The sequence below is a fragment of the Homo sapiens genome, chromosome 2 (assembly GCF_000001405.40).
Source record: "Homo sapiens chromosome 2, GRCh38.p14 Primary Assembly".
Classification (NCBI taxonomy): domain Eukaryota; kingdom Metazoa; phylum Chordata; class Mammalia; order Primates; family Hominidae; genus Homo; species Homo sapiens.
Window position 1 is genome coordinate 227,361,810 of NC_000002.12, and position 21,532 is coordinate 227,383,341.

Genomic DNA, 21,532 nt, shown 5'->3' on the forward strand with positions numbered 1-21,532 from the left:
TGCTCCTGAATACTATAGTGATGGACGTACAAACACATGTATGTTACATTATGACAGGAATGATAATAGAGGCTTGGGTAAGTGCTGACTTGGTTTATTGGATCATGAGCACTGGGAAGGCTTCCTCAAGTAGGAGATACTTAAGCTAGGCCTTAAGGACAAGTAAGTATTTGTAGGGGTGTAGGAAGAATGTTTTTATATAGTAAATGTTCAGAAAAAAGGCTTATAAGCTCTTGATGTTACTAAATTTATTTAGGCAGCTATAATGTAGGTACTGCAAATTATTTCTGGAACCTTAAGCCCAATGAACATAAACAATTGAAATATAGAAATAACATTCAGAAAATTTTAGATTTTTAGCTTTGCTGTTTTACAACATTTTAATGTGATAAATACCCTTGTTATCCTGTTTTTTAAAGATTGGCACATATAGAAAATAGCTTTTGAAAGTCTTGGGTTTTTCTAGGTATTGTTTTTTAATTAATGAATAATGTAAACATAGGAAAATAGGAGGGTATAATGAATTGCCATGTACCTGTCACCTAAATATAACAGTAAACATCTCCCCGTTGCTTTTGGTTGAAGTAATTTTAAAACATATAAATATGCATTTCTTTTTTTAAAAATGAGGACATTTCTGTATACAGGTTGAGCATCACTAATCCAAAAATTCAAAATCCAGAATGCTCCGAGATCCAAAACTTTTTGAGCCAGTAACGTAACACCACAAGTGGAAAATTCCATACCTGACCTCATGTGATGAGTTGCAGTCAAAATGCAGTCAAAATTGTGTTTCATGCACAAAGTTATTTAAAATATTGTGTGAAATTACCTTCAGGCCAGGTGTTCAAAGTGTGTATGAGACATAAATGAATTTTGTGGTTAGACTTGCATCCCATCCCCAAGATGTCTCATTATTATAGGCAAAATTCCAAAATCCAAAAAAATGTGAAAGCCAAAACACTTCTGATCTTAATCATTTTGGATAAGGGGTACTCAGCCTTTATACTATAAAACCATTATCAGACCTACCAAAATTAACAATAATCCGATTCTTCTACATACTCCTCCCAATTATCTCTGACAAAGTTTACATGTGTTTAGCTGAAACATGCCTCTATTCTCTTAATCTATAACAGTTCCCTCAAAAATATTTTTCTTTTATAACATTTTCCTGTTGAAAATTGGGCCATTCTGTGCCCGCTGACCCACTTTTTGGATTTGTCCTAGTGTTCCCTGCAAGCTGAGAATTAGATCTAAAGACTTGATTGCATTCAGGTTATGTATTTATTCTTTAAAGAAATACAATAAAAAGGTCCTGTCCTTTAGGCGCGATGGCTCATGCCTGTAATCGCAGCACTTTAGGAGGCTGAGGCAGGCAGATCACTTGAGTCCATGAGTTCGGGACCAGCCTGGGCAATATGGAAAACCCCCATCTCTACTAAAAATACAAAAATTAGCTTGGCATAGTGGCACGCACCTGTAGTCCCAGCTACTAGGGAGGCTGAGATGGGAGAATCACCTGAGCCCAGGAGGTTGAGGCTGCAGTAAGCTGAGATAGCACCACTGTACTACTGTACTCCAGCCTTTTTTGAGACCCTGTCTCAAAAAAAAAAAAAAAAAGTCCTGTACTTTTATTTTCAGGATGACTTCCGTTCCTTCTCATCCTCCTTCCCTTCTCCTTTCTCTACACACAGTGAAGAGGTAAAAAATTTGAATAGTACAACACAAAACTAATTGAAAATTCTCTCCACCTTTCCCAAATCAACCACTGATATGAGAGTGTTATGCATTTACAACGTGCTTTCTACGTGAAGGGTTGATTTTTTAAATCATCTCAAAGATGACTTTGAAAACAAGTGTACTTCTCAAATTAATTCAAACTACTGATACTTACATTTTATTCCCATTAAACTACACAATTTGACTTCTTCGCTTAGAGACTCCACACAGACAGCCAAGGAAACCGATGACTATCTGACTGAGCCCAAACAGGACCTCCAGAATTCCAACAAGCAATAGACCTAAAAATACTGAGAAGTGGATAAGCCTATGTTTGTTTTCTTCAGAATCGAAGTGGAAACTAGATGCTCTCCAGCCACTCGCCATGGTGTCGTTACTGGTGGGTTTATTGAAACCAGTAGGAGGTGCACAAGAGTCATTGAAAAACCACTGCAAGTTGAAGGATTCTGGATGAATGTCACTGAAAAACAAAAGATAAAAATCAGATATTCAGAAATATCCCTGACCAAAGGAAAGTAGCATTGTGCACATAAAAGAATGAGTGAAACGAATGTACTTTTGAAATATCGTGCCCAGAAATGACAGAGATCAGGGTTTCTGAGCATGTGTCCATATACTCTACTAGTTACAAAACTTTTATTACTTATATAGCCCATCATTTAACAAGCATCTCTATGGTACATCTTCTCTTAGGTTGAACGGTATGAAACTGCTGTTTTGGGATGTCAGAAATAGTTGAATGTCAACAGTTTTTCGTGGTTCAACCTATTTATTTTATTTATTCAGATACTCTTCTACTTGCTAGATATAAAAACTAAGGAGCCTCCCCTACCCCCCGCCACCCCCATTAAATGAGCTCAGTTCTTAGTGCAGAACTACAGCGTGGCGTCCGTTCTTCAACCAGATGTACAGTTTTTACTGATTAAATATGTCTGATTAAAGTGATGTGCCTGTTCTTAACGGGGCTGTGGAAAATGAGAAACTTTTAGCCCTAATACATCTATCTCAAGATGATTTTTTGTTTGTTTACTGTAGAGTAAAATGGAATGTTCTTAGGGAGTTTGCATTGCTGGATATCAGCAACTGACATTCAACCTGGGAAAACAACAGTATTTTCAGCACATGGAATATGAGTGTTTTGTGAAATGTGTAGCAAGCCAAGGATCACTCTCTTGTAACTTTGCTAGCCTAGCCCATCTCCGCAACTAGGCTGAGAATATCTGAGCGCTGTTGTCTGCAGAGCGTAGCCTGGTGCCTGGTACATTGTGGGCTGTTGTCATTCCCTGGGGATTTAATGTGCATAGCATCTGTGGTAGAAATCTTTAACCCTTTACTTCAAGTCTATTAGCAAGGAGACTTTCCTTGGCTTTGTTTTTGAGACACAGTCTCACTCTGTCACCCAGACTGGAGTGCAGTGGCTTGATCTTGGCTCACTGCAACCTCCGCCTCCTGGGTTCCAGCAATTCTCCCGCCTCAGCCTCCTGAGTAGCTGGGACTAGAGGCGCGTGCCACCACGCCTGGCTCATTTTTGTATTTTCAGTAGTGATGCAGTTTCACCATGTTGACCAGGCTGATCTCAAACTCCTGACCTCAAGCGATCCACCTGCCTTGGTCTCCCAAAGTGCTGGGATTACAGGCGTGAGCCGCTGTGCCTGGCCTTCCTTGGGTTTTGGTTCAAAACAAATATGCTACACAAAATTTGAGGGACTTTCTTTTTTAATGTAGCAAGGTAAGGGAAAAGGAGAAAAAATTTTTTGTATGTAACTACAAAAGTAAATTCTGGTTATTTGCTAAACTGAGCAGGCTATACAGAGAGGTAATGGATTAGATAGTTTTTTTCTTCCAGTTTTTACAAATTGTGTCTAGATTCAGTCACAGAATGATGTACTTAAAAGACTAAAATGAGCCACTTATTAAGTACATGTAACTCTCCAGTATTACTTGTTATTACATGACTTAAAATTTGGATTCATTCCCATGCATACAGTATATTTATAGCATATCTGTATGAATCCATTGGTTGCTCTTCCATTTAAGCCTACAGGCAAGGCTCTGCATTTTATTTATTGTGTTTTTATTAAATTTTTTAAATTGTAAATGTAATATTTGCTCATGGTTGACAAATTTAATTAGTTCAGAAGTGTAGAAAGTAAATGTTCTCTTCACTCTCATAAAGGGAATCCCCTATTTCCATTCTCCAAGGATGAAAGTTAAGTTTCTGGTGTATATTTGCATAATTTTTTAATATACATACACATATGTAACTGTAGATTTTTGAAAGACAAGCATAAGCCATTTGAGATCAACTAGTCCTTTTAGACAATATCTAAAAGTCCTTTTAGAGCATTGTAAATCTAATGATTCCTCCATTTTGATGTGGAGTTGTGCTAACTGGCGTTAATGTACTAAAATTCCTAAGAATCCGTTTGTCCCGGCAGTTGCATCAAATAAAAACATGGCATTGTTCCAGTACTGCATTAATCTAATCAAACTAGTTCAACTGTGTGAGACAGTAAGCCTGTGAAAATCAAGTTACTTACCTGATGTTTTTCAATGAAAATTCACAATTGGCATTACTGTTGCTTGGAGAATTACACATGAGAGGACCTTTTAAGAGAGCCTGGATGGATATCAGCATGCAATACAGAGCACCAATGACTGTGATCACACTGAAAAGTGATGAAAGAAACATCTGAAAAATAAAATAGAGCCATTTGCACATGTTATGACATGTTCTTGATCTGTTTCAAGCTTCAGGAGCGTATACAGTCTTTTTTAAATCCAGTCGCCCTAAAATCCTGGATCTTAAGATCACAGTTTATTAGGTGTGAATGATACAAAAAGGCAGAGGGCAGTCTCTGCTATTTGATTACACTCAATAAAAGATGGTTGGGGCTGGGCATGGTGGCTCACACCTGTAATCTCAGCACTGTGGGAGGCCAAGGTGGGTGGATCACCTGAGGTCAGGAGTTCAAGACCAGCCTGGCCAACATGGCAAAACCCCCTCTCTACTAAAAATACAAAAACTTAGCCAGGCTTGGTGGTGGATGCCTGTGATCCCAGCTACTTGGGAGGCTAAGGCAGGAGAATCGCTTGAACCCGGGAGGCAGTCATCCGAGATCGTGCCATTGCACTCCTGCTGGGTGACAGAGCAAGACTCTGTCAAAAAAAAAAAAAAAAAAAAAAAAAAAAAAAAAAAAAAAAGATGGTTTGGCTTGTCACTGTCTCTGGAAAATCTCAACTTTCATATTCCTGAGTCTCATCTGTTTCTTCTGACCACTGAGATCTAGTTCCTCCCTGTTTTATGTACTTCCTACTTCATAGAATCTTGACTGGATCTTAACTACGTTTATCTTCATGTCTGGTCTCTTGGCTCGCAAGCGTTTGGCCCTGATGCTTTAAGTGAATTTGGCCCTGATGCTTTAAGTGGCCAGTGGCCAGCATCCCACAGTGATCAGTCAACAGCATAGAGTTAGAACAGGACTTCCCAACCTCAGCACCAATGACATTTGCACACTTCGCTGTGGGGCCTTTCCTGTGCAGTGTAGGATATTTAGCAACATCACTCATCTCTACCCACTAGATGCCAATATCATCCCCCGACGCCTTGCCACCTCCAGCCCGGTTCTGACAACCAAAAATGTCTCCAGGCATTGCCAAATATCCTCTTGGGGTGGAGGTGGGTGGGTAAAATAACCCGCCGGTTGAGAGCCACTGTGTTAGAAAGATTGTACACATCTTTATTTCGTGAGTCAGTCATGAGAGCAGAAGAAGGCATGGAATTTGGCATAGGAAACTGAATGAAAGTTCGTGTTTGTTTTTCCAAAAATAAGCTCTTAGGCCAGGCACAGTGGCTCATGCCTGTAGTCCCAGCACTTTGGGAGGCCAAGGAGGGTAGATTGCTTGAGCCCAGGAGTTCGAGACTAGCCTGGGCAACGTAGTAAGAGCCCATCTCTAAAAGAAAAAAAAAAGAAGGAAACTTTTGTATTGTTTCAGTGAAGTTGTTAGTCACTGATGATTATTTCAAAATCAGCAGAAATGAAGCGAGGGAATGCTTTTCCTTTTTCTTTGCTGGGATAATGCAGCTCCCACAGGGTCTGTGTGTTGTGTTCTTGAGACCTGCCTTTTATGAGTGCAGAATAAGGTGGCTACCTATAGAGTTGTGTTGAGGGATGTTGTGCTCTACATATATCATCTCATTTAATTCTTTTCATAATCCCAAGAGGTAGATACTATTATTATTTCCATTTTATAGATGAGAAAACTGTGTATCATGGAGATGGACAAAACTTGTCAGGCTCTCACAGCTGGGAAACACTTTAATCACTATTCTTCTTCCAGCCAAAAGTTCAGAATGATGGATTTGGAGTCTACTTCAAATCCTGATTCTTCCATGCTACTGTGACTTGTGCAGTTACTTAAATGTACTCATCAAGAAGTGCCATGGTGTTTATTTTTAACCATCTATTTTTTTTTTTTTTTTTTTTTGGAGACGGAGTCTCGCTGTGTCGCCCAGGCTGGAGTGCAGTGGCATGATCTCGGCTCACTGCAAGCTCCGCCTCCCGGGTTCACGCCATTCTCCTGCCTCAGCCTCCTGAGTAGCTGGGACTACAGGCACCCGCCACCACGCCCGGCTAATTTTTTGTATTTTTAGTAGAGATGGGGTTTCACCCTGTTAACCAGGATGGTCTCCATCTCCTGACCTTGTGATCCGCCCGCCTCAGCCTCCCAAAGTGCTGGGATTACAGGCGTGAGCCACCACGCCTGGCCGCCATCTATTATTTATATATATATATATATATAATTTTTTGTTTTTGAGACGGAGCCTTTCTTTGTTTCCCAGGATAGAGTGCAGTGGCGCTATCTGGGCTCACTGTAACCTCTGCCTCCTGGGTTCAAGAAATTCTCCTGCCTCAGCCTCCCAAGTAGCTGGGATTACAGATGCCCGCCACTACACCTGGCTAATTTTTTTATTTTTATTTTTTGTATTTTTAGTAGAGACAGGGTTTCACCATATTGGCCAGGCTGGTTTCAAACTCCTGAACTCAAGTGATCCGCCCACCTCAGCCTCCCAAAGTGCTGGGATTGCAGGCGTGAGCCACCGCACCCAGCCATATTATCTTTGAGTTCTCATCCCTACAAAAGGCCTGGCTTTAGAAAGTGATTCCAGGCATGTGTATTTCCCCTAAAGGGGATTCACTTAAATGATTCAGCAAAACCATTTTGTATTCAGAAGCAAAAATAAGAACTGGAAAAAGGGAAGAAGCAAAGAACAGTTAAAATAGGGGACAAGCCTTGGTCAACCCTTTCCCTTCCTCCCAAGATGTTGCCTTTGCCACTTGTCTCATGTTTTGGTCTTATCTAGGCCTCAAAGACACCAGATACGACATAAAAACCAGTTCTTAGAGGATACACCTATCGGAAAAGCCTATATAAGTGTTTTGATATTTTTGATTTCAGGAATTCAGAAATGTCTCAGGATGTCAAGAATGTTGTGAACACCACATAGAAAAGATACAAAGTCAAATTCCAAATTATTATCGTTTACAAAGAAAAGTGACAGGGAAGGGAAACTGAAAATTAGTGTTTATTGAATACCTAAAATGTATTCAGACAAAAATAGACTAGAACTAATTAGCATAATTATTGTAATCCTAGATAAATATCAAATGTCAGAAAAAGGGTAATTTTTAAAAATATGAATCTTCCATTATGGATAGAAATATCTGGTTTGTTTTTTTTAAGTAGTGGTTCTAACCCCTGGCCAAATTATCTTGAGTGCTTTTGAAAAATACTGATGCAGAATCTCTGGCGGCCACCCAGGCACTGGTATTTTTTTAAATCTCTTTAGATAATTCTAATATCCCCATCTGTCTTTTTTTTTTTTTTTTTTGAGAGAGTCTTACTCATCTGTTGCCCAGGCTGAAGTGCAGTGATGTGATCTCGGCTCACTGAAACCTTTGCCTCCTGGGTTCAAGAGATTCTCCTGCATCAACCTTCTGAGTATCTGGGATTACAGGCATGGGCCACCGTGCCCAGCTAATTTTTGTATTTTTAGTAGAGACGGGGTTTCACCATGTTGGCCAGGCTGGTCTTGAATTCTAGACCTCAAGTGATCCTCCCACCTCAGCCTCCCAAAGTGCTGTGAGCCACCGTGCCCAGCCTAATGTTCCCATCCATCTGAGAACCATTGCTCTGAAAGCTCAAGCTCAGCCAAGCAGATTTACTGTGACTGCTTGCTGTCAATCTACCCCTTCCACAGGGAATTGTGAGAGTCCTTATGTTGCTTAATAGCCATGTTCATGGTATAAAGATCATGAATTGTGGGGTGCTCCAGTGGGTTTGGATAAAAATCCACTTACTAGTGTGCTACACTGGCAAATTATTTACTTTCTCTGAGCGTCCATTCCTTCGTCAATCAAACACACTTCTTACTTTTTCCCACTTAAGGGTTTTGAGAGAATTAAATGAAACAGCATCTCTGAAAGTGTTCTGAGCAGAGTGACACTCCGGTTAATGAATCTTAATTTACTTTTAACTTCGTTACGACTTTATACATAGTGGGTAGGCATTAAATGTTTTGGGGGAAAAAAACCTGGCAGCTCCTTTAATTTAACTGGATAAAGGCAATTGTCATTCTAATCCTAGCAAACCAGTCTGTCATTGCATGAGAGAACTGAGTACATTTTCCCTGAGTATTTTATATACGCCACAAAAATATCACACCCGAGTATTATGAAATTGATTGCAGCTGTGGGCGTGACTTACCAATCTCCTTTCTTTGAAAACCTTTAGATTGAGGAAAGGACAATCCACGGAAGACTGAGGAAGGGACAGAAGGCCAACTCTAAATGTTTGTGGGACAAAAAAACCCGTCTCACTTTTTCTACTTCTATATAATCATCCTAAATAGCATGTTTCAGGCCAGGCGCAGTGGCTCAAACCTGTAATCCCAGCACTTTGGGAGGCCGAGGCGAGCAGATCACTCGAGGTCAGGAGTTTGAGACCAGCCTGACCAACATGTTGAAACCCCCATCTCTACTAAAAATACAAAAATTAGCTGGGCGTGATGGTGTGCACCTGTAGTCCCAGCTATTCAGGAGGCTGAGGCAGGAGAATTGCTTGATCCCGGGAGGCAGAAGTTTCAGTGAACCGAGATCGCACCACTGCACTCCAGTCTCAGCAACAGAGCAAGACCCTGTCTCTAAATAAATAAATAAAAATAGCATGTTTCTAAGGCTGTGGCTCTGTCAGTGGAGCCCCACTGTGATTCGGTAGATGCGAGTGACTCAGTGTGGCTTTGCTTAGGTAGCAATAACTGTTCATGCACTTCTGCTTCCACGCCGACTGCTTCATACTTACTCCAGTTCTGTTGTTGCAGCACGCTCTTTTTCTTGCTGTCAAGGACATTGTTGTTGCTGGAATGGCCTGGAAATGACATCAACAGGAAAGATGAGTATTATAACTTCTCATCAGAAGAAAAAATAGTAATCTTCACCTTCCGTTTACCACCAGTTGTGGGAAATCAAGGCTCAAAGAACAAAAAGGGAATTTGGCAATATCCGTGGTTTTGTGAACCTTGTCATCCCAGTTTCAACCAGAAAGATTAAAAGTGGCGGCGGGAACAGGGGAATTCAAGACAGGAGTTTTGAAGTCTTCTATCTACATTCTTAGTTCACTCTGAGTCATCTGCAGAGAATTGGATTTTAAATAGATTAGGATGACTTATTTATACATTATTTTTGGAAGAAATGTTTCTGAAAGAATTGGCTGCATCATCCAAACTCTGTTGTTTGTTTGTTTAAAGAGTAGGGGTCTCACTCTCTTACCCAGGCCAGAGTGCAGTGATACGAGCATAGCTCACTGTAGCCTTGAACTCCTGGGCTCAAATAATCCTCCTGCCTTAGCCTCCTGAGTAGCTAGGACCACAGGTGTAGACCACCACACCTGGCTAATTTTAAAAATATTTTTGTAGAAGCAAGATCTCACTCTGTTGCCCAGACTGGTCCTGAACTCCTGGCCTCAAGAAAACCTCCTGCCAAGAAAACTAAAGATGTGAGCCATTACGCCTGGCCCGATTTCCCAGAAATTGTATGGATTATTCTGGCAAACCTGCAGAAAAGAAATTGATGGTTTTGTTTGCCTGGCAGTTGGGAACAAATCATTCTGTCACCACCCACTCCCACTAGCCTTTCTTTTCCCAGGATCCCGGCTATCTTGCTGGTTTCCCCAAACTTATATTTGAGAATTATTTTTGGTTCCACGTTCTCCTTTCTCTTCCTATATCCATGATATGTAATGATCTCACTTTATATATTGATGCTCAGAAATCTATAGATCGCATTCTGCCTTCAGGGAAATACACGTTGCCAAGGAAAGCTGTAAGAAAGAACACCATATTCTCAGGACTTGGGTTTCAATTTTTAGTATATCTAGGCAGCAGCTACGACTAGAAATTCTTACTGGAAGGAGTTTTGTATCATTGAAGGGTGGAATGTAATTATTTCCTTCCGCTTGAGAAATTTTAGGCGTAGGTTTTTTTGCCATCTCAGCACAGCTGCCCTTGAGTGGTTTTTCTCTCTCCTTCTACTCTCATTCTCTAACATTTTCCCGAGCTCTGGCGAATGCCAGACTCTGTTACAGGCACTTTACACGCCTTAGTTTATTCCATCCTCATAATAATCCTATGAGGTAGGTGCTATTATTATTCCCATTTTACCAATGAGAAAACTGAGGCATAGAAAGGACAAATTACTCAAATTGTCCTTCTACTTTCTTGGTAGAAGGGTTGGGATTCAAAACTAGTCATTTGGCTGGGCGCGGTGGCTCATGTCTGTAATCCCAGCACTTTAGGAGGCCGAGGTGGGTGGATCACGAGGTCAGGAGATCGAGACCAGCCTGGCCAACATGAGGAAACCCCGTCTCTACTAAAAATACAAAAATTAGCTGGGCGAGGTGGTGCACACCTGTAGCCCCAGCTACTCAGGAAGCTGAGGCAGAATTACTTGAACCTGGGAGACAGAGGTTGCAGTTAGCTGAGATCATGTGACTGCACTCCGGCCTGGCGACAGAGCGAGACTCTATCTCAAAAAAACAAACAACAACAACAAAAAAAGCTAGTCATTTGGGGTGCAGAGCCCACATAGTTTTTTGTTTTGTTTTGTTTTTTTGAGACAGGGTCTCACTCTGTCACCCAGGCTGAAGTGCGGTGGCATGATCACGGTTCACTGCAGCCTCAACACCCAGGGCTCAAGTGATCCTCCCACCTCAGCCTCCCGAGTCGTTGGGACTACAGATGCATGCCATCACGCCCTGTTAGTTTTAATTTATTCTGGGGGGCATTTTTTTGTAGAGACGGGGATTTTGCCATGTTGCCCAGGCTGGTCTCGAACTCCTGGGCTCAAGTGATCGCCTCGGCCTCCTAAAGCATTGAGATTACAGGTGAGCCTCTGTGCTCAGCCGGGACTCTTAATCCCTATTCCACACTGACTCAAGTCTTACAATTCTCCCCTATTCCTACCTAGAGTTTGTTCATTCTCATCTTCCCTGCTGCCTTCACCCTTGCCCATCTCATTGTCCTTCCAGTTACTCCCACTCTGATTCATTTATCCAAGGCCACATCTGCCTTTATTCTTTTAGCACGGGTTTAAAGTTTATGCCTCTTTACAAGGCAGCTTTCCTAACAAACCTCACTCCATCTGATGATGTACTGCCTCCATGTCACTTTGTATTATTATCAAGCTTTGCTTACACATTGCCTTGAACACCACCACCCTCCTTATTTAGAGGCCACATGTGTATATGGCTGCCTAGCCACCTTGGCGCATAGCTGAAAGCCCAGAAGAAAAGGGAAAAGAAATTTTAGCTCCCAAATAGGTATCAGTATTCGTGCACTAAACATCTTTTATTGTACACATAAGCTGTACTGCCTTTTGAGCTTACAGGACAAATCATTTAGAACGGGAACTGGCAAACTATGGCCCACCACCTCTTTCTTGTAAATAAAGTTTTATTGGAACACAGTCACATCCATGTATTTACATATTGTCTATGGCTACTTTTGTGCACCAAGAGTAGAGTTAAATTGTGTGGAAGAGGCCGGGCGCGGTGGCTCACGTCTGTAATCCCAGCACTTCAGGAAGCCAAGGTGGGCGGATCACGAGATCAGGAGATCGAGACCATCCTGGCCAACATGGTGAAACCCCATCTCTACTAAAATACAAAAAATTAGCCGGGCTTGGTGGCACGTGCCTGTAGTCCCAGCTACCAGGGAGCCTGAGGCAGAGGACTCGCTTGAACGCGGGAGGCAGAGGTTGCAGTGAGCCGAGATCGCGCCACTGCACTCCAGCCTGGTGACAGAGCGAGACTCCGTCTCAAAAAAAAAAAAAAAAAAATATGTGGAAGAGGCTGGTTTATAAACCGAAAATATTGGCTGAATATTTACAGTTTGCCAGCTACAGATTTAGAAAATTAATGATTCTTTTAAAAGAAAGTGCAAGTGTACTCCAGCCTAGATGACAAAGTGAGACCCTGTCTAAAAAAAAAAAAAAAAAAAAAAAAGTGGATTGACATTACAACTTAAATGGATAAATTGTTCTATTTTCCTTGTTGATGCAAACTGAACTCTGGTAACTTTCTTGAAGATAAGTTTATTTCAGAGTTACTAAATATTTCCTTTCATGATTCACTTACAAAGGGGTTTTATAAAGGGACAATTACTTACAGTGTATAAGTCACCACCCCACCGACTTCAAGGCGTATTAACACATCTTTGTAATGCTGTTACTGGTGATTTGACAACTCGCTGCGGTTTCAACCGCTTTCCCATTCAGAGCTCCGGAAATTGGAGGGGCTCTTTAGACAGACACTAAAACTGTGAATGGTGTGTGTGTGTGTGTGTGTATGAATTATATATAAATTTTCCAGATAATCTCCTGCCAAAATGAGTAATTATGAGAACACACTTTCTCTTCATTTCCTAAGCATATTTGAATGCCTGAGTTTTTGTAAAATTAAAAGTCTTGCTAGTCTTTTGTTTTTAAAAAGGAAAGTAATATTGTTGATTTTTTCTTACAGAGCCCCCTAATTGTATTTAGTTTGAGAAGTTACATGATTTTACAAATGAAGTGTGGAAAAACTTCAGACCATTAAAAATCCTGTGATGAAATTCAGACTTTTGGGAGTCCTCTAAGAACTTGAACATGAGAGTAACACACAAAGTCATAGCTCATTACAAATATCAAAACTATATTTTGCAGCCAGGCATGGTGGCTCATGCCTGTAATTCTGGCACTTCGGGAGGCCAAGACAGGAGGCTTGCTTGAACCCAGGAGTTTGACCCCAACCTGGGCAATATAGTGAGACCCTATCTACAAAAAAAAAAAAAAAATTTTGAGACAGAGTCTCACTCTGTCACCTAGGCTGGAGTGCAGTGGCACAATCTCGGCTCTCTGCAACTCCTGCCTCTGGGTACAAGTGATTCTCCTGCCTCAGCCTCCCGAGTAGCTGGGATTACAGGCATGCACCACCATGCCTGGCTAATTTTTGTATTTTTTGATAGAAACGGGTTTCTCCATGTTGGCCAGGCTGGTCTCGAACTCCTGCCCTCAGGTGATCTACCCACCTCAGCCTCTCAAGATGCTGGGATTACAGGCATAAGCCACCATACCTGGCCAAAAAAAAATTTAAGATAAGCTGGGCAATAGTGGTGCATGCCTATAGTCCCAGCTACTGAGGAGGCTGAAGTGGGAGGATCACTTGATCCCAGGAGGTTGAGGATGCAGTGAGTTGTGCTCACAGCACTGCATTCTAGCTTGAGTGACAGAGCATGACCTTGTCTCAAAAACAATGACCAAAAAAAACCAAAGAAAACCCACAAAAGTATATTTTACAAATGTTTGTCATGCCTAATGTCTTCTCATCTGTTTAACTTTCAACAATTTGTTTTTTTCTTTTGAGATGGAGTCTTGCTCTGTCACCTAGGCTGGAGTACAGTGGCGCGATCTCAGCTTACTGCGAGCTCCACCTCCTGGGTTCACACCATTCCCTTGCCGCAGCCTCCTGAGTAGCTAGGACAACAGGAGCCCACCACCAAGCCTGGCTAATTTTTTATATTTTTAGTAGAGACGGCGTTTCACCGTGTTAGCCAGGACGGTCTTGATCTCCTGACCTCGTGATTCGCCCGCCTCGGCCTCCCAAAGTGCTGGGATTACAGACATGAGCCACCGTGCCTGGCCAGCTTTCAACAATTTGTTCTCCATTAAGACTTCAATAGTTGACTTTGATGAGTTACTATTATCTAATAAGTGAACTCAATGAATAAGCATGATTAAGATCAGGCTCACAACCTCATATAAAATAAAATGGCCTTTCTGTTTATATGTTTTCAAGGAAACATTTTGAGATCTTTTTAAAAATACTCGAACAAATAACATTTGTATTGATTTTTCCATTTAAAGTTAAAGATAATTAAGTACATCACATTTTTACTTAGTCATAGTTTTAGAAGATGAAAAGTCCGCCTCCGTTTTAAGTAAGTCATGAAGCCATAAAATGAATATATTTCATGATGTAATCAATAATGAATTCCATAGTTTGTATAATTATCTACTTCCTGCAAAATCCCATTTTTGGTAACAATACTAATTTGAAACACTACAGTAATTCTGGAAAGATTTCAAGAACTATGACCAAAGTGCTTATCACAGGCAGTGATTTCTTCTCTATTAACTTTTTTGTGTAGTTACTAGTATATTGAAAGCTCAGTATTTTGAACTAGTGAGTATTTTCATGGATATTATAAAGGACATATTAATAAATTCCTTTGAAAAACACTTTCTTCCACATTCTCTATCTATCTGAGGATCATGAAAATATACCTGTAGTCTGAGCCCTTTTTACCACCCACCTGTTTGCTTGTGGGCATAGCCTCTGTCTATAAAGTTCATATTGGACTTTTCAAAGAGTTGTCTGATGCTTTAATGACATTCTATAATACAGAATAATAGAGATAGTCTGGTGTTTATATCTTTGATAATACTTACTGAGGGTGATAAAGTAAACTTAGCTGTAGAACGAGGAAGTTCAGATTCTCTGAAACTGTTCCACGAGTTTCTATAATCTTTCTGTGACTCAGTTTCCTGGTCACTTGACTTTATGGATTAATTTATAGATTATATCTTTCACCTCTGGCAGCCCTGAGACAGGTGTTGAGGACTACGGTACTAGCACTGGTGGAAAAACAGAGTTTTGACGTCAGATAAATCTGGAATTTCACATCCATTAGGTGACCTTGTTAACATTCCTAACTTTCTATCTGCTGGCCTATAAAATTCAAGTGATAATAAATGCACACATTATTATAGAGACTAAATGAGATAACAAGGTAATGTATGAACCCAGTAGCTGGCCTTTGGCAGACGGCCAATAAATGAGCACTTATGTCCTTCTGTCTGTCTCTGCCTTTCTCTTTCTCTTCTCTCCCTGCCACACCCGCCACCATCCTAAAATGAAGAATACAGGAGATGTAGGTATGTGTCATCGCCACCTCCGACTCCTTTAATGCTAATACATTTTTTTTAATCTCATGGGATTTGTGGCAGAGCCAATTTATATCTAAAGCTGCATGTGTTATTCTAAGTGGATTGTCTTAACTCAGGAACTTCTAGGAGCTTCATGGAAATTGCTATCGTTAAGTCATGCTCAGCCAGCTGCTCCTGGCTTCTGGTGTAAGCAAATGCAAAAGAGGCTTCTACTACTCAAGCAGAGAGAAGCCTTCTACAGGGAAGAAAACAGACACACGGATGTACAGTTGCTTCATGCTGTTGAGTTGCAATGTGTTTTCTGTCTCTCAGCCTGGAAGAGAGCATTCATGGCAGTGTGAAGAAATAGCCCAAAACTTTCCAAAAGCTTTTTCTTTAATTAGATCTTTCTACCTAAAGCAGAGGAACAGATTCTTTGTGATGGTAAAGGAAGAGTGTTTTTGTAAATCTGGGGATAATACCAGCAGCAGTAACTGATCATAATTCAGAATCAGTGATTCAAGTAGAAAACTATGTCCTGAATTTCTTTAAAAATCACCTCCACAGCCATAAAAAAGGAATGAGATCATGACCTTTGCAGGGACATGGATGGAGCTGGAGGCCATTATCCTTAAACTAACGCATGAACAGAAAACCAAAAACCGCATGTTCTCACTTGTAAGCGGGAGGTAAATGATGAGAACACATGAGCACATAAAAGGGAACAACACACACTGGTGCCTGTTGGAGGGTGGAGAGTGGAGGGTGGGAGGAGGGAGAGGATCAGGCAAAATAAATAATGGGTAGTAGGCTTAATATCTGGATGACGAAATAATCTGTACAACCAGCCCCCAAGATACACGTTTACCTATGTAACAAACCTGCACATGTACCTCTGAACTGAAAACTTAAAAAAAAAAGTTAAAAAAAAGTCACCTCCGTGTTTTATTATCTCTAAAACACTGATAATATCAGTCCTTACAGCTTACTCTCTCTCTCTCTCTCTGTCTTACACACACACACACACAGGCACACACACACATTCATTTATTTGGCACTAACTAAACCCCCTAGTGGCATAACAAACAAAAACAAGCCTCTTGGATGCTGAATTATCAACTTCAACATCCACATCCCCATTTTACACATATGGAAACAAAACCATAGGATAAATGATTTGCTTGCAGTGGTATATGGGAGGCAGAACCATAGCTGAGGTATTCTGCCATATTTGAAAGCCGTTTTCCCTATACAAATGCGTCCTACCCAGGCCTACTGCACCCAGAATTCTCAGGAGAAAATCCGTAAATCTAACTATTGCAAGTGCCTCGGGTGATTCATGTCAGTTATATTTAGGAGTTCCATCCTGCACTGCTCTGCTGCAGATTTCAACAGAGGTAGACCTAGTAACAATCACCAAACTATTCAACAAGCTCGATGTCCTAGGATCTATATAATAGCTGAGTCAAAAATTCCTTGAGGCCAGAGACCCAGGATTTTAAGTCCATGTCTCTTAGCCCAACTCCCTTCAGGTACAGGCAATGCAGCATTCATGCCTCGTAATTACCATCACCCAGGCTAGTCATCATACATGGGAATGTTTCTACTCATCCCTATTAAGCAACCTGTCACTCCTATTGCATTTTCTGTAAATACTTAGAGACTGGTATGGAGCAATGGAAAGTTGAAGGAATTAATTCAGAAGGTCCCTAACTCTAACCACAAAGCTTGAAAGAGCAGCCCTACCTGTACAGAAATGTGAGAGATAATAACCCAGCCAACTTCTACTAATTAATTTATTTTTTTGCCCAGCTCTCTATCCTATACCACATAGTGTACTTTATTTAAATTACCATTCTTCACTGATGACCAATATAAATTAATGCCATACTACTGCTCCAAATTTTATCATAAGCCAAGACATAGTTAACTGCAAGACTGGAAGACAGCTTTTAGGATTTTGGTGAAATAGGCAGGCCCTTCTTCACATCAAGTCAAATAAATATCACTCACCATCAGACCTGCTCCTATAATTCCTGGGAACCACCACTCAAAGCAAGAGATGGGGTTTTGAGAAAATTGGTCTTCCTCAACTAAGCTGACAATTAGAGGTATCGCATTGAGAACTACTCCTAACAGCAGTAGAACCAGCAGGCTGAATCCATTGCAGGATGTCCATCCTTCGCAGCAGGTCATGGTCACCCCTGGCTCAGAAACGTTGTCAAAGTGGCTATGCTTGCATGGTACTATGTTGCCTTTTATCCCAATCTTCTGGTTAAAATTTAACGCTAATAAAAAATGAATAGTGGAAAATAGTTCAGAGTCCAATAGGGTAGGACATTATTATGATGACTATGATGGGAAATGAGAAAATAATTCCATATTATGATGAGGTGAAGGAAGGAAAGCAGAAAAAAAAATCTATGAGATAAATTTATGTAAGAAGATAGGCTTACGATAAGCTCCTTTAATATACTCCTTTATTAGTATGGCTTCTAAAAAGTAAAAACAAAAATATCCAGCTAAACTATATTTTCCTGTTCTATCGATATTATTACCAGCTATGGAAGTTTCTTATTTTGAAATTGTTCAACAAGAAAATGAACACGTATGAGATGTGGAGAAAGGTATTTCCTCTGCTGCAAATATTAGAGTTTATTTCAAGCCGTATGCTCACATACACAAAAGAAAATGTTTATGTCATATTATTCCAGTGTTGCAGACTAACCCATTTAGAGATAGCCCACCTAAGACATGTGAGAGCTTTGGCTAATGCTACCAGACTGAAAGATAGCAATAGGAGAGAGATTGGATGAGGAGATTATCATATTTTATTTAAGCCCTTGAACACTTACTTGGCCATGTGCAGTACTTTACATCTCTAGACTGTGGTTCCACATTGCCTCTCCACTAGCTGGTGAGCTCCTTGAGAAAAGACTATCAGTTGGCATAAGCTTTAAAATACAAAAGTTCTGGCCAGCTGCGGTGGCTCACGCCTGTAATCTCAGTGCTTTGGGAGGCCAAAGCGAGAGGATCACCTGAGGTCAGGAGTTCGAGATCAGTCTGGCCAACATGGCAAAACCCTCATCTGTACCAAAAAAACAAAAAGTAGCCAAGCGTGGTGGCACATACCTGTGATCCCAGCTACTTGGGAGGCTGAGGCCAGAGAATCACTTGAACCTGGGGGGTGGAGGTTGCCATGAGCTGAGATTGCACCACTGCACCCCAGCCTGGGCGACAGAGGGAGACTCCATCTCAAAAAACAAAAACAATACAAAAGTTCTTGCTTATGCTGACTGACCATCCTGATCTAAATGGGGTCATGGTAGTTACTGAAAGACCTAGACTTAGACCTAGACCTAGACTGGCAGAGGCAGCTTCTTGATCCAGGCTTCCACAGTCACAGAGGCAGGGTACAAAAATGTGGTGAGCCACATACTGGATCTATATGTTTCTGCCCAGAAGCGACCCACATCACTTCTGTTCACATTTCATTGGCCAAAAAAGTCACTCAGTTATGCATGAGTTCAAGTGGGTGGAAATACAAACCAATATGTCTAGGAGAAAAGATTGGGACATTAGGCAGCTCTAATCTCTACAGCGCCTTCCTTCTGCTTCTGTGTAATCCCCCGCTCAGCCCAGAGCATAGATTCAGTGAGTGCTGTTGGGAATGGTGAAATAATGTATGCAGCGGTGCAGTCAGTGTGGGCCAAAAGCTCAGGCGTAGTAGGCTTAGAGAGCAGCGCTCCACCCTGCAGCAGTGTGGGGGGCGCACACAGCCTGGTACAAGGGGCATCCCTGGTAATGGACACCAAAACAGTAGCTCCAGACTAGGGGGTCCAGTTACTGGACCTCAGTGAAATGTGAAATCCTTTGTATGAAAGGATTTGTATAAAAGGATTAAAAATAACCCACCTATTGGCTGGGCATGGTGGCTCACCCCTGTAATCCCAGCACTTTGGGAGGGCGAGGTGGGAGGATCACTTGAGCCCAGGAGTTCGAGACCAGCCTGGCCAATATGGCAAAACCCTGTCTCTACTAAAAATACAAAAAAATTAGCTGGGTGTGGTGGCAGGTGCTTGTAATCCCAGCTACTCAGGAGACTGAGGCAGGAGAATCACTTGAACCCAGAAGGCAGTAGTTGCAGTGAGCCAAGATCACACCACTGAACTCCAGCCTGGGCAAGAGAGTGAGACGCCATCTTAAAACAAAAACAAAAAACACCCACCTATCAACACAACACACAAAACACCGAGAATAACTGAAAGAATACAACTGGGTTGAGAGACAGGAGACACTTCCATTGTATGGTTTATATACTTCTGCATGGTTGAGATTTCTACTATAATTATATAATATTCTAAAAAAATATATTTTTTATTTTATAAAAATTAATAACTAAAATTTACCCTCCCACTAAGTCATATAAATTATCTCATTCTATAACTATATATTATAATACATAAATTATATATTTATTACTGACTTGAATGAGTGGGAGGTGGTAGTTACTTACCTTAGAATGTGGGTTGTGCCATTTCAAATCTTTTTGCTGTCTTCATAAGATGTTGAATTGAAGAACTGTTTAGGGAATCATTTTATATGTAGGGAACTGGATCGGTTGGACTCCACCTGACTGTGAGAATCAAGTGTCTGATTTCCAGAGTCTTTGCCATTTGACCAAAACTGAGTAAGCTGCATGCTTTTGCTAGTGGGCATAACATAGTTCCACTCGGGTTTAGTACTCCTTACATTTGTGGCTAAAAGGAAGTATCTGAAGAATTCTGTAAAAATGTAGAAATTTAATCTGTATGTGATGAAGGGGAAGATATTTCAGTATAAAGCTGAAAAGAGAATTAGCTTATAACTGAAGAGGAGAATGATGACCACTTTTTAGTATCTGCCCAACACACGTGCCTGTTTCTGTAAAAACAACCCCCCGTAACTTACATGCATAGATCCTCTGTATTCCATTTGTGTTATGGAACTTTGCTCCCCTGGCCATTGTTGATCGGAATACTGGTAGATACAGAAGCTATGCTCTTCCAATCTCTCTAGGAGCTTGGAATTGAAACCAAGAGAAATTAGTTATTCCCCAGTATGCATGAAATGGGAGGGCATGTGTATCTGTTAAGATTAAGCTTAGTTGCACACAAAAAGAAATTTAAAATAAAAATGGCTTAAGATAGAAAGTTATTCACAAAGTCAGATGATAAGTACTTGATGTGGTTTGGACATGTCCCCACCCAAATTTCATCTTGAATTATAGTTCCCATGATCCTCACGTGTCGTGGGAGGGACCTGGTGGGAGGTAATTGAATCTTGGGGGTGGTTACCCCTATGCTGCTGTTCTCCTGATAGTGAGTGAGTTCTCACAAGATCTGATGGTTTTATAAGGGGCTTTCCCCCTTTTGCTCATTCTTCTCCTTGCTGCTGCCATGTGAAGAAGAATGTGTTTGCTTCCTCTTCCACCATGATTGAAAGTTTCCTGAGACCTCCCCAGCCTTGTGGAACTGTGAGTCAATTAAACCTCTTTCCTTTATAAATTACCCAGTCTCAGGTATGTCTTTATTAGCAGCATGAGAACAGACTAGTACAGTACTCAAGAGTTGGAGTGGGAGCTCCACTTCCTCAGAGATCCTTTCAGTGCATCTCTTCATCTGATCTCTTCATTCTCACATTCAAAATGTGGCAACCATAGCTCCAACAATTATATCTGCTCCCCACTCAGAAGGATAAAGGAAGAGAAGAAGAAAAAATAAATAAAACAAGAAGGATCAAAGAAGAGAAAGGCTCACCCTCTTTCTTTCAAAGAGCCATCTCATTGCCTAGAATGTAGCCATGTAGCAGCATGGGAAAGGTAGTATTTATTCCAAGTGATCTGTGCCCAGTTAAAACTGGGGAGAACGAGACCAAGGGTATTGGGTAGGCAACTAGAAGTCTCTACCATATTTAAATTCATGAGCTTAACCAGGCTTGGTGGCTCACACCTATAATCCCAGCTACTTGGGAGGCTGAGGTGGGAGGAGTGCTTGGGGCCAGGAATTCAAGACCAGCTAGGGCAACATAGAAAGACCCCATCCCTACAAAAAATAAAAATAACAGCCAGGCACGGTGGCTTATGCCTGTAATGGCAGTGATTTGGGAGGTTGAGGTGAGAGAATCATCTGAGGTGAGGAGTTTGAGACCAGCCTGGAGACCCCATGTCCACAAAAATATTTAGCCAGGTATGGTGGCACATACCTAAATCCCCACCTACTCAAGAGGCT

At 41.2% G+C, this 21,532-nt stretch overlaps 1 protein-coding gene across 2 annotated transcripts, besides 2 other annotated features; it reads right to left on the reverse strand.

The window, feature by feature from the left end:
* On the reverse strand, positions 229-19,838 carry TM4SF20 (transmembrane 4 L six family member 20). Of its 2 annotated transcripts, XM_011511876.3 has the most exons (5): positions 19,780-19,838; positions 14,787-14,972; positions 9,106-9,171; positions 4,284-4,435; positions 229-2,203 (listed from the first exon to the last, which is right to left on the reverse strand). In XM_011511876.3, the coding sequence occupies exons 3-5, from the start codon at positions 9,151-9,153 to the stop codon at positions 1,915-1,917; spliced, it is 489 nt and encodes a 162-aa protein (XP_011510178.1). In that variant the 5' UTR covers positions 9,154-9,171; positions 14,787-14,972; positions 19,780-19,838; the 3' UTR covers positions 229-1,914. The 2 variants fall into 2 exon arrangements, with proteins under 2 accessions (XP_011510178.1, NP_079071.2); NM_024795.4 differs by lacking the exons at positions 14,787-14,972; positions 19,780-19,838 and adding an exon at positions 17,277-17,497.
* Positions 8,765-9,964: an enhancer, noted in NCBI's record as "CDK7 strongly-dependent group 2 enhancer chr2:228235290-228236489 (GRCh37/hg19 assembly coordinates)". NCBI's record gives its function as "activates an origin of replication core promoter dependent on BRD2, BRD4, P300/CBP, MED14 and CDK7 cofactors, with strong dependence on CDK7, by STARR-seq in HCT116 cells {active_cell/tissue: HCT116}" and the evidence as "EXISTENCE:reporter gene assay evidence [ECO:0000049][PMID:35650434]".
* Positions 15,111-15,311: a silencer, noted in NCBI's record as "peak4069 fragment used in MPRA reporter construct". NCBI's record gives its function as "represses an SCP1 promoter by STARR-seq MPRAs in K562 erythroleukemia cells {active_cell/tissue: K562}" and the evidence as "EXISTENCE:reporter gene assay evidence [ECO:0000049][PMID:32103011]".